Consider the following 13,116-nt stretch of genomic DNA (forward strand, 5'->3'; position numbering starts at 1 on the left):
ATAAAGTAGGATTGAGCTTTTGCATTGTCAATGATAGATTTCTGGTGGGGTAGGAATGGCTGATCTGTATAGGTTTTGGGTAGGTTTGTTTCTCCTTATTTTCTTCATTGGCTTCTGAGTCTGAGTCACTGAGGACAGCCTTATTCAGAAACACAAAATCTTAAGAGTTTGAAGAAGATCTCAAATTTCCCTTCCCCTTTTAATGCAATCTGGACATATTCAAAGAAATATATGAGCCCTCAGATGTGAAGGATATCCTTTCCCCAGCATCTCTGCCAGTGGGCACACAGTCTCTTTTTAAATATTTTGAAGATGGTGAAGGGACATTACTTCTCAGGGCAACCAGTGCTAATGAAGTTTTGTGTTACTGTTGGCCTATTATGCTTCCCCTTACTTTCCTTTCAGTTTGTTCTGATTTTTGCCTTCTAAAATAGTACAGAACAAATTTTGTCGTCTTTCACCTGACCGCCCTTGATTTTTAAAAATTTAATGCAGCAGACATACTGAGCATATGCTGTGTGTAAAACATTTTACCTGGCGCTGGCCCACGTGCGTGGAAGATCTATAAAGTCCCGCTTTTTATGGAGCTTATGACATTAGGGAGTGAGAGGGAGTGCACAAGTATAAATAACTAATAGACAAAACATAACAAATCTAGGTATAAAAGTGCTATATAACAGGAAGCAAAAAGGAAATAAGGATAATAGCATTCCTCCTTTGTCAGCTCAAAATTTCTGGTTAACCTGTTGAGTAAACTTAAATGCCTGCCTTTGCAGCCATAGTAGAGGTCAGTACACACACGGGTCTCTCCTGTTTTCCCTCTTCTGATTTCTTTTTTTTTTTTTTTTTTAGTTTTTATTGATCATTCTTGGGTGTTTCTCGGAGAGGGGGATTTGGCAGGGCCATAGGACAATAGTGGAGGGAAGGTCAGCAGATAAACATGTGAACAAGGGTCTCTGGTTTTCCTAGGCAGAGGACCCTGCGGCCTTCCGCAGTGTTTGTGTCCCTGGGTAGTTGAGATTAGGGAGTGGTGATGACTCTTAAGGAGCATGCTGCCTTCAAGCATCTGTTTAACAAAGCACATCTTGCACCGCCCTTAATCCATTTAACCCTGAGTGGACACAGCACATGTTTCAGAGAGCACGGGGTTGGGGGTAAGGTTATAGATTAACAGCATCCCAAGGCAGAAGAATTTTTCTTAGTACAGAACAAAATGGAGTCTCCCATGTCTACTTCTTTCTACACAGACACAGTAACAATCTGATCTCTCTTTCTTTTCCCCACATTTCCCCCTTTTCTATTCGACAAAACCGCCGTTGTCATCATGGCCCGTTCTCAATGAGCTGTTGGGTACACCTCCCAGATGGGGTGGCGGCCGGGCAGAGGGGCTCCTCACTTCCCAGACCGGGCGGCTGGGCGGAGGCGCCCCCCACCTCCCTCCCAGCTGGGGCGGCTGGCCGGGGCGGCTGCCAGGCAGAGGGGCTCCTCACTTCCCAGACGGGGCGGCTGCCGGGCAGAGGGGCTCCTCACTTCTCAGACGGGGTGGCCGGTCAGAGACGCTTCTCACCTCCCAGACGGGGTAGCGGTCGGGCAGAGACACTCCTCAGTTCCCAGACGGGGTCACGGCCGGGCAGAGGCGCTCCTCACATCCCACACGGGGCGGCGGGGCAGAGGCGCTCCCCGCATCTCAGACGATGGGCGGCCGGGCAGAGACGCTCCTCATTTCCTAGACGGGATGGCGGCTGGGAAGAGACGCTCCTCACTTCCCAGACTGGGCGGCCGGGCTGAGGGGCTCCTCACATCCCAGACGATGGGCGGCCAGGCAGAGACGCTCCTCACTTCCCAGACGGGGTGGCGGCCAGGCAGAGGCTGCAATCTCAGCACTTTGGGAGGCCAAGGCAGGCGGCTGGGAGGTGGAGGTTGTAGCGAGCCGAGATCACGCCACTGCACTCCAGCCTGGGCAAGATTGAGCACTGAGTGAGCAAAACTCCGTCTGTAATCCCGGCACCTCGGGAGGCCGAGGCAGGCAGATCACTCGGGGTCAGGAGCTGGAGACCAGCCCGGCCAACATGGCGAAACCCCGTCTCCACCAAAAAATGCAAGAACCAGTCAGGCGTGGCGGCGCGTGCCTGCAATCCCAGGCACTCTGCAGGCTGAGGCAGGAGAATCAGGCAGGGAGGTTGCAGTGAGCCGAGATGGCGGCAGTACAGTCCAGCCTCGGCTTTCACAACTTTGGTGGCATGAGAGGGAGACCGGGGAGAGGGAGAGGGACCCCTCTTCTGATTTCTAGAATGCTGGACTTTATTAAACCAAGTTCAGCTCAGTAAGTAGGTGTGGTCATGGAGAGTGAAATTTCTCTTCTTCTCACCTGTCAGATTTGGCTTTCTGTGCCAGGGGAGCCCAAAGAGAAATATGCACTAATTTTGTAGTTATTCTCAAAGCACAGTCAGTCACCACTCCTATTTTTCCCTTTTAATTTTTTCAGGATTGGCATTTGACTATATTTACCTCTCCTTTTTTCAGCCCTTATTAGCAGTTTTTGCATTACAATTCCTTTGCTTGTAAGGAAGTGTCCCCTATCTTACAGCATTAGGATACGCAAGAAAGCACTCAGGTCATTGAGATACATCTCTGAGGCTGAGGAGATTCTCCTCCACCCTCTCCTCCTTCCACCACATGCTGTGAACTCCTTGGTGACTTTGAGTCACTGTTCTCTGCTTACCCTGAACTTTGGGAAGAAGTTCTGTATACACATATAGGGAAAAACCCTCAACCCATGTTTTTTCTTTGCTCTCACACCACCACAGTCATCAACACAAAAGAAGACTTCTGTGACCAAAGGTGTGGGTTTCTTTTCCCCACACAGCAAGCAGCAGACACCAGTTAGGTGCCCTCCAATTCAATTCCAACACTGTCTTCCTGGAGGTAGCATCAGATCCCACGGTTTGTGGACTCAGTCCCCAAGACTGCCCTCTCCCACTTCTATCACCAGTCCCATGTTTGGGCCTCTAGAGCTTTGACCAGCTTCAGGTTGGGGTTCCCACGACCCCCTCTTTGGGTTCAGTTAATTTGCTGGAGTGGTTCACAGAACTCAGAGAAACATCTACTTACGTTTACCAGTTTATTATAAAGGATATTACAAAGGATACAGATGAAAAGATGCACAGGGCAAGGTGTAGGGGAAAAAGTGCAGTGTCCATGCCCTCCCTGGGCACACCACCCTTCAGGAGGAACCTCGTGCATTCAGCTATCTGGAAGCTCTCTGAACCCTGTTCTTTCGGGTTTTTATGGAGGCTTCATTACATAGGCATGGTTGACAGCTGTAGAAATGTGATTATTAGACAAGCAAGGCATGTCTGCTCAGACTTTTCTTGGGCTGTGTAGCATTCCTTCTTCTAAGGTATGGGGCAGGACCCTCTCTGGAATGACGGTCTTCTGACCCACAGTGAGATTAGAGTCCTGCCTTGGGCAGGGGAAAGGAGGATAGGAGAAGGTCATAGATCCTGTTTCCTGAGGCCTTAAGCACTCTAACATTATAACAAAGACTATGGGAGTTAGGAACCAGGAACCATGGATGAAAACCTATATATATATATATATATATATATATATATCACCGTAATACAACATAGGAAGGAAGAGGGGAGACGCCTCTAAAGTAACCTTTCTTAATTTATTGTTATTATTATTATTTAGAGATGAGGTCTTGCTCTGTTGCCCAGGCTGGAATGCAGTGGCATGATTATACATAGCTTACTGTATCCTTGAATTCCTGGGCTCATGTGATCCTCCCACCTCACCCTCCTGAGTAACTGGGACTACAGACTCATGCCACCATGCCCAGCTAACATTTTAAAAATTTTCCTTAGAGATAGGGGTCTCCCTTTGTTGCCCAGGCTGGTCTTGAGCTCCTGGCCTCAAGCAGTCCTCCCGCGTTAGCCTCCCAAAGTGCTGGTATTACAGACATAAGCCAACTTACTTAGCCCAGATTGGCTTCTTTAACTTATTTATTTCATTTTTATAGATTTAGGAGGTATAAGTACAGTTTTCTTTTTTATATTTTAACAATCTGTTTATTATTTATTTATCCCTCCATAGAACCACCACTCACACCAAGGAGATTATTTGGAGTGGGTCACCACCTGGGGCCTGGACTCTGAAATCTAAGGCTTCCTCCTCCCTCACTTTATGGCTTAGGTGGTGGCATGGTTCAGGCAAAACTCGTGTCTCCTTTTGGATACTGCAGAAGCAGGACCTAAGCATACCCATAAAGGTGGCCACACCCATCAGGGTTGATTGGCAGGCTGGAAGACAATATTCTCCCAATGAAGGCACTTTTACCTCTATAGGGGGGTGGGAATTGGTTGGTTGGAAGTGGTGGTGTTGGGACAGGGAAGAGTTATTTCCATGGAAAACTTATTTGCAGGTTACAGAGAGAAATGAGGGGAGTTTGCCTACACTGGGCCATCTGTGGGGCCAGTGGGGGCTGCTGTATATCTTGTATATCTTTGCTACCGAAAGGGGAAGGTTGACGTAGGCATTAAAGCCAAAGAGGCCCTTAGCAATTAGGCCCAGTACCCCTGCGATGATTTTGGAGTGGTTTTCTTTCTCAACATTGTCGATAATGGAGGTGATTAGGTAGAGGATCACTGCTAAGAGGGTTTGGAAGAAATGACTCCAGGGCCAATTGATGAATGGTATTTTGGTGTGCAGATCACACACGTAGCTGACAAAGTAGCAGCAAGTATCATTTCAGCCACCAACAGGGAGGAATAGTCTGGTGTGGAGGCACTTGAAGTAGATCAGGATCACCAGGCACAATGTAATCTTAGCAAACCTGGAGGATTCCCTTTTGGGTGCGCAAGAAGTTGGCCTCAGCAGCGGGGGTCCGAGAGGCCCTCGGAATCCACCATGGCATGGGCCGGAGTCGCTGGGGTCCGAGAGGCCCTCGGAATCCACCATGGCATGGGCCGGAGTCCCTGGGGTCCGAGAGGCCCTCGGAATCCACCATGGCATGGGCCGGAGTCCCTGGGGTCCGAGAGGCCCTCGGAATCCACCATGGCATGGGCCGGAGTCCCTGGGGTCCGAGAGGCCCTCGGAATCCACCATGGCATGGGCCGGAGTCCCTGGGGTCCGAGAGGCCCTCGGAATCCACCATGGCATGGGCCGGAGTCGCTGGGGTCCGAGAGGCCCTCGGAATCCACCATGGCATGGGCCGGAGTCCCTGGGGTCCGAGAGGCCCTCGGAATCCACCATGGCATGGGCCGGAGTCCCTGGGGTCCGAGAGGCCCTCGGAATCCACCATGGCATGGGCCGGAGTCCCTGGGGTCCGAGAGGCCCTTGGAATCCACCATGGCATGGGCCGGAGTCCCTGGCGACGCAGAAGATGTGCTCACTGATTCGTGGGGTGGAGGACACTGCACACCCAGCCATCTGGCTAGGAAGGGGGCGTCTGGGGCAGAGGGAGTCACAAGTACGGTTTTCTTACCGGATATATTGTGTAGTGGCAAAGTCTGGCCTTTTAGTGTACTCATTGCCCTAATAGTGAACATTGTACCCAAAAGGTAACTTTTTCACCTTTTTCGCCCTCCCGTGTTTTGGAATCTTCAGTGTCTGTTTTTCCATTCTGTATGTGCATGTGTACCCATTGTTTAGCTCCCACTTGTAAGTGAGAACATCGGTATTTGACTGTTTCTGAGTTGTTTTGCTTAGGATAACGGCCTCCAGTTCTGTCCAGGTTGCTGCACAAGATATGCTTTCATTCTTTTTTATAACTCAGTAGTATTTCTTGGTGTATATATACACTGCATTTTCTTTATCCAGTCATCCATTGTTGGACACTTAGGTTGAGGCCGTATCTTTGCTATTGTGAATAGTGCTACAATACACGAGTGCAGGTTATCTTTTTGACATGATGATTTCTTTCCCTTTGGGGATACCCAGTAGTGGGACTGCTGGATAGAATGGTAGTTGTATTTGTAGTTCTGTGAGAAATCTCCATACTGATTTCCATACAAGTTGTACTAATTTACATTCCCACCAACAGTGTTCAAGCGTTCCTTTTTCTTCACATCCTTGCCAGCATCTGTTGTTTTTGACTTTTTAATAGTAGCCTTTCTGAGTGGTGTAAGATGGTATTTCATTGTGGTTTTAATTTGCATTTCTCTGATGATTATTGATGTTGAGCATTTTTTTCGTATTTGTTGGCAATTTGTCTTTTGAAAAATATTGTTTCATGTTCTTTGCCCACTTATTAGGGTTTTTTTTTTTTTTTTTTTTTTTTTTTTTGACAGTCTCACTCTGTTGCCCAGGCTGGAGTGCAGTGGTGTCATCTCGGCTCACTGCAAGCTCTGCCTCCCACGTTCACACCATTCTCCTGCCTCAGCCTCCTGAGTAGCTGGTACTACAGGCACCCGCCACCACACCCGGCTAATTTTTTGTATTTTTTTTTAGTAGAGATGGGGTTTCACCATGTTGGCCAGGATGGTCTCGATCTGCTGACCTTGTGATCCGCCTGCCTTGGCCTCCCAAAGTGCTGGGATTACAGGTGTGAGCCACCGTGCCTGGCCTAGGGTTGTTTTTTTCATGTTGAGTTGAGTTCCTTGTAGATTCTATATAGTAACCCTTTGTCAGATGTGTAGTTGCCAATATTTTCTCTCATTCTGTAGTGTTAATTATCATTATTATTATTTTTGCTGTGCAGAAACTTCTTAATGTAATTAAGTCCCATTTATCTATTTGTTTTGAGATAAGATATCATTGTTCTGTGGCCCAGGCTGGATGGAGTGGTATAATCTCAAACTCCTGAGCTCTAGTGATCCTCCTGCCTCAGCCTCCTGAGTAGCTGGGACTACAGGTGCACACAACCATGCCTGGCTTTTTTGTTTTGTTTTGTTTTGGAGACAGGATCTCACTTTGTCACCCAGGCTGTAGTGCAGTGATGCCATCTCGGCTCACTGCAGCCTCGACCTCGTGGGTTCAAGCAATCCTCCTTCCTCAGCCCCTCAAGTAGCTGGGACTACAGTGCATGCCACCATGCCCAGCTAAAGGCAAGTTTTTATATTTTAATTTTTTGTAGAGACAGGGGTCTTGTGTTTCCCAGCTTGGTCTCTAACTCCTGGCCTCAAGTGATCTTCCTGTCTTAATTTTACAAAACACTGGGATAACAGGCATGAGCCACTGTGCCCAGCCAGCTTCTTTAACTTAGTAATAGATGTTTATGTTTTCTCTGTGTCTTGTCATGGCTTGATAGCTCATTCTTTTTTAGCACTGAGTAATATTCCATTGTCTGGATGTACCAGTTTATTTACCCAGTCACCTACTGAAGGACATCTTGGTTGCCTCCAAGTTTTGGCAATTTTTGGTAAAGCTACTATAAACATCTGTGTGCAGTTCTTTGTGTAGACATTAAGTTTTCAGCTCCTTTGGGTAAATACCAACGAGGCATGATTGCTGAATTATATGGGAATAGTGTGTTTAGTTTTGCCAAAAAGTACCAAACTGTATTCTAAAGTGGCTGTATCATTTTGCCCTCCTACCAGCACATCCTTTTCCGGATTTGGTGGTGTTAGTGTTTTGGATTTTTTTGCCATCCTGATAGGTGTGTAGCAGTATCTCGTTGTTTTAATTTGCGGTTCTCTAATGGCATATATATTGGCCATCTTTTCATATGCTTTTTTGCCATGGGTATATCTGCTTTGGTTAGGTGTGTGTTCAAATCTTTTGCCCGTTTTTAAATTGGGTTGTTTTCCTATTGTTCAGTTTTAAGAGTTTTTTTTTTAAACTTTTAAAAAATGCGGATATGTCTTTTGCAAAAATATCTCCCGGTCTGTGGGTTGTCTTACTCTTTTGACCGTGTCTTTCACAGGGCAGAAGTGCTGAATTTAAATGGGACTTTGGGATTCTGTTTAGTCTATATATCAAATTAGGAAGAACATCTTGACAGTATTGTGTCTTCATATCTGTGAACATAGAATATCTCCATTTATTTAGTTCTTTGATTTCTTCAGAATTTTGTGGTTTTCCTCATATATAATTTGTAAATATTTAGTTAGATTTATTCCTCTTTCTCTCTCTTTTTTTTTTTTTTGGTGTAAATGGTGTATTTTTAATTCTGAATTCCATTTGTTCATTGCCAGTGTATAAGAAAGTGACTAACTTCAGATCTTTTAAGTATTCGCTTATTTGTGATTTAAATAAGTTTTAAGGCTGGGTGCAGTGTCTCACACCAGACCCAGCACTTTGAGAGGCCAGTGTGGGTAGATTATACAGTAGACCAGCCTGGGCAACATGGTGGAACATCATCTTTTTTTTTTTTTTTTTTTTTTGAGACGGAGTCTCGCTCTGTTGCTCAGGCTGGAGTGCAGTGGCTGGATCTCCGCACATTGTAAGCTCCGCCTCCCAGGTTCAAGCCATTGTCCTGCCTCAGCCTCCCAAGTAGCTGGGACTACAGGTGCCCGCCACAACTGCCGGCTAATTTATTGTATTTTTTAGTAGAGACGGGGTTTCACTGTGTTAGCCAGGATGGTCTCAATCTCCTGACCTCGTGATCTGCCTGCCTGGGCCTCCCAGAGTGCTGGGATGACAGGCGTGAGCCACCGCACCTGGCCGGAACATCATCTTTATTAAAAAATACAAGGATTAATGTAGTTAATTCTCATTTAATCCCTTCTTAGGCCAGGCGCGGTGGCTCACGCCTGTAATCCTAGCACTTTGGGAGACTAAGGGAGGCCGATTACCTGAGCTCAGGAGTTTGAGACCAGCCTGGGCAACACAGTGAACCTCCGTCTCTACTAAAATACAAAAAAAATTTGCCGGGCATAGTGGCGTGCTCCTGTAGTCCTAGCTAGTCAGGAGGCCTAGGCAGGAGAATTGCTTGAACCCGGGAGGCGGAGGTTGCAGTAAGCCAAGATTACACCAGCCTGGGCGACAGAGCGAGACTCTGTCTGAGAAAAAGGTATATATATATATATATATATATATATATACAAAAAAATTAGCCAGGTGTGGTAGTGTGCAACTGTGGTCCCAGCTACCCAAGAGGCTGAGGTGGGAGCATTACTTTACTTTAGCCCAGGAAGTGGAGGTTACAGTGAGCTGAGATCGCACCACTGTACTCCAGCCTGGGTGATAGAGTGAGACCCTCTCTCAAAAGAAAAAAAATTGTCTGGGTACGGTAGCTTACGCCTATAATCCCAACACTTTGGGAGGCCAGGGCAGGCAGATCATGAGGTCAAGAGATGGAGACCATTCTGGCCAACATGGTGAAACCCCATCTGTACTAAAAATACAAAAAATGAGCTGGGTGTGGTGGTATGTGCCAGTAGTCCCTGCTGCTCGGGAGGCTGAGGCAGGAGAATTTGTTGAACCCGGGAGGCAGTGGTTGCAGTGAGCTGAGATCATGCCACTGCACTCTAGCCTAGCAACAGAGCGAGACTCCATCTCAAAAAAAAAAAAAAAAAAGTCAGCCAAGCAGGAGGATTACTTGGACTCAGGAGTTTGAAAGCACCCTGAGCAAGATGGCAAGGCCCCAGAGTGAGACCCTATCTCTTTAAAAACAAACAAACAAAAAAAAACTGCATTTCCTCCTCCTTAAATTTTTTTTTTTGTAGTTATTCATTATTAGGCTCCTTGTAGTTTAGTTTTCCTTTACTGAGCTTTTCTAAATTTTTTGTTCTTTTCTTGCTTCTATCATTTTTTAAATATCTTTCACCTCATTTTGAAATACTAGGTAATAGTTTTTTGGGCATGTTTGGAGTATGCTTTTATAGCAACTTATTAAAATAATTTTTTTGGGATTTGACTTCAGTACTTTTTCTGTTCTTTTTTTTTTTTTTTTTTTTTTTTTTTTTTTTTTTTTTTTTTTTTTTTTTTTTTTTGAGACGGAGTCTTGTTCTGTCACTCAGGCTGGAGTGCAGTGGTGTGATCTCGGCTTACTGCAAGCTCTGCCTCCCAGGTTCACGCCATTCTCCTACCTCAGCCTCCCGAGTAGCTGGGACTACAGGCACCCGCCACCACACCCGGCTAATTTTTTGTATTTTTAGTAGAGACAGGGCTTCACCGTGTTAGCCAGGATGGTCTCCATCTCCTGACCTCATGATCCGCCCGCCTCGGCCTCCCAAAGTGCTGGGATTACAGGCGTGAGCCACCGCGCCCAGCCTGTTCATTTTCATTTGAATTCAGTTTTTCTAAACTTAGAAGATGTGACTCAGGGTAGTTGTACTAATGTCTGTGCTCCCTTTTCTGTAGTTTTCAGAGTGTTCACAACTGTGGGAACTTGCTTTCTGAGACTTTCTGGTTCTGTTCCTCTCTCTCATTTTTATCTTTTTCCTTCATCTTTTTTATTCCTATCCTACTAATTTTAATTCCATTTTTGGAGTTTTTTCTCAGTGTGGGGCCTTGACTGGTCAGTTCCGAGGGTCCCTGGGGCAGAGACTGTTGGACGCTTCCATTTTAGACTTACTGTGGACACCCTGTACTCACTTGTCACTCATTGGGACTATATCCCCCTTGGTTGTAGTGATGTTCTGAAACTGGTGCTTTCCAGTGTATACCAGTGGGTTTCCCTTTTTTTAGTTCCATTAAACACATTTACATTTAATGCAGTTATTGATATGATTAGGGTCAAATAAGTAATATTATACCATTTCACTCATAAAAGTCTTACAACAATATACAGGCAGTCTCTGGCTCACGATGGTTCGCCTTTTGATAGTATGAAAGTGTCATGCATTCAGTAGAGACCGTAATTGGAGTACCCATATGACCATTCTATTTTTCACTTTCACTACAGTATTCAGTCATTACATGAGATATTCAACACTTGATTAAAAATAGGCTTAGTGTTAGATGATTCTGCCCAAATGTAGGCTAATGTAAATATTCTGAGCACATTTAAGGTAGATTAGGTTGAGTTATGATGTTTGGTAGGTTAAGTATATTAAATACATTTTCGACATTTTAAACTTACAATGTTTTTATTGGACCCTAACCCCATTGTAAGTTGAGGCGCACCTGTATTTCTGTTTCTCCTCTCCTGGCCTCTATGCTATTGTAGTCATGTATGTTATTTCTCCATATGGTGTAAGTCTCAAAATACATTGTTATTTTACTTTAAACACTCAAGTAATAGGAAAATTGGTTAGTATTTTTCCGTATACTTAGCATTTCCAATGTTTTTCATTTCTTTCTAGTGCAAGTTTCTGTAATTTTCCTTCTGACAAAAAGACGTAATGGGGTCTGCCAGTGATTTTTTTGTTTTTGTTTATTTTTTGTATTTTAGGTTTTATGTCTGGAAAAGCCTTTCTGTTGACCTATTTTTGAAAGAGGTTTTTGCTGAGCATAGAAATCTAGATTGACAGTTCATATGTTTCGGTACTTTATTTTCTTTCTTCTTTTTAAATTAAATTAAGAATTTTTTTTTTTTTTAAGATGGAGTCTTACTCTCTTGCCCAGGCTGGAGTGCAATGGCACAATCTCACCTCACTGCAACCTCCGCCTCCCTGGTTGAAGTGATTCTCCTGCCTCAGCCTCCTGAGTAGCTGGGATTACAGGTGCGCACCACCACATCTGGCTAATTTTTTTATTTTTAGTAGACACGGGGTTTCACCATGTTGGCCAGGCTGGCCTCGAACTCCTGACCTCGTGATCCACCCGCCACGGCCTCCCGAAGTGCTGGATTACAGGCATGAACCACCACAACTGGCCAAGAAATTTTTTTTTTTTTTTTTTTTTTTTTTTTGAGACAGAGTTTCGCTCTGTTGCCCAGGCTAGAGTGCAGTGGTGCAATCTTGGCTCACTGCAAGCTCCGCCTCCCGGATTCACAGCATTTTCCTGCCTCAGCCTCCCGAGTAGCTGGGACTAACAGGCACCTGCCATCACGCCTGGCTAATTTTTTGTATTTTTAGTGAAGACGGGGTTTCACCTTGTTAGCCAGGATGGTCTCGATCTCCTGACCTCGTGATCCACCCACCTCAGCCTCTCAAAGTGCTGGGATTACAGGCGTGAGCCACCATGCCCGGCCAGAGAAATTTTTTTTTTTTTTGGTATTTTTTTGTTTTTGAGATGGAGTCTTGCTCTGTCCCCCAGGCTGAAGTGTAGTGGCACTATCCGGCCAGAGAAATTTTTTTAGCAGACGGGGTCTCGCTCTGTTGCCCAGGCTACAGTGCCCCCTGGCTGTTTACAGGCACTATTGTGATACACTGCAGCCTCAAACTCCTGGCCTCAAGCAATCCTTCTGCCTTCCTAGTAGCTGTGACGATTTGGAAGGCGTATGTCATGGTGAGTTCTTCCGTGTTGCTCTGTGGCCTTCCAGCGTGCATTGTTTCTGAGAAAAGGTCATTCTTATCCTTGTTTCTTTTATGTATGCCTGTTTTCTGTGGCTGCCTTAAGAGTCTCTCGCCATTACTCTTTTAAGCAGTGTGATAATGATGTGTCTTCGTGTAGTTTTCTTTTGTTCTTTTATTTCTCTTGTGCTGCTTAGGTTTTGCTGAGGTTTTGCTGAGCTCGTCGGCTCTGGGTTTCTGGTTTGGGCTACCAATTTTTTTTTTTTTTTGAGACAGGGTCTCGCTCTGTCGCCCAGGCTGGAGTGCAGTGGTGCAATCTCGGCTCACCGCAAGCTCTGCCTCCTGGGTTCACACCATCCTCCTGCATCAGCCTCCCGAGTAGCTGGGACTACAGGCCCGCGCCACCACACCCAGCTAATTTTTTTATTTTTAGTAGAGACAGGATTTCACCATGTTGACCAGGCTTGTCTCGAACTCCTGACCTCAAATGATCCACCCACCTTGGCCTACCACAGTGCTGGGATTACAGGCGTGAGCCACTGCACCCGGCCGCTTGTTAGTTTTTTTCTATATCTGCAAATGCATAGTTATTTTGATTTCCTGGTAGGTATACTAATTACACCTAGTTCTTTTAGTGTTTGCTAATCACCCACGTGATTTCAGAACACATAAATTGATTTCTCTTGTCTCTTAGCATTTAGCAATAAAGGATCCTGGGTATTTTATAATGAAATCACTTATCAAAACAGGGCTCTTAACATAGGTCAGGATAATCCCAGCCTTCCTCAAGTCACTAAGCTGCTTAAAAGTAAATGCAAGTTTTTGGGTACTT

At 45.5% G+C, this 13,116-nt stretch overlaps 1 protein-coding gene and 1 pseudogene across 14 annotated transcripts in view, besides 2 other annotated features; one reads left to right on the plus strand and one right to left on the minus strand.

The window, feature by feature from the left end:
* Window positions 1-13,116, plus strand: part of CNOT6 (CCR4-NOT transcription complex subunit 6) — an 83,980-nt gene that overhangs the window by 35,351 nt on the left and 35,513 nt on the right. For 2 of the 14 annotated variants that reach the window (NM_001370474.1, XM_047417441.1), the window contains exon 1: window positions 11,925-12,279. The exons of the other annotated variants lie outside the window; for them this stretch is intronic. The gene's annotated coding sequence lies outside the window, so the exon portion shown is untranslated. Of the gene's footprint in view, window positions 1-11,924; window positions 12,280-13,116 lie in introns of those variants that run through there. 14 annotated transcript variants of the gene reach the window in all.
* Window positions 1,630-2,284: an enhancer, noted in NCBI's record as "H3K27ac-H3K4me1 hESC enhancer chr5:179958359-179959013 (GRCh37/hg19 assembly coordinates)". NCBI's record gives its function as "activates a minimal SCP1, AML or CMV promoter by ChIP-STARR-seq in primed H9 embryonic stem cells {active_cell/tissue: H9 hESC(primed)}" and the evidence as "EXISTENCE:reporter gene assay evidence [ECO:0000049][PMID:30033119]".
* LOC100329129 (proteolipid protein 2 (colonic epithelium-enriched) pseudogene) lies at window positions 4,049-4,929 on the minus strand (annotated as a pseudogene).
* Window positions 10,458-10,627: an enhancer, noted in NCBI's record as "active region_23769". NCBI's record gives its function as "activates an Ori minimal core promoter by ATAC-STARR-seq in GM12878 lymphoblastoid cells {active_cell/tissue: GM12878}" and the evidence as "EXISTENCE:reporter gene assay evidence [ECO:0000049][PMID:35858748]".

The sequence above is a fragment of the Homo sapiens genome, chromosome 5 (assembly GCF_000001405.40).
Source record: "Homo sapiens chromosome 5, GRCh38.p14 Primary Assembly".
Lineage (NCBI taxonomy): Eukaryota > Metazoa > Chordata > Mammalia > Primates > Hominidae > Homo > Homo sapiens.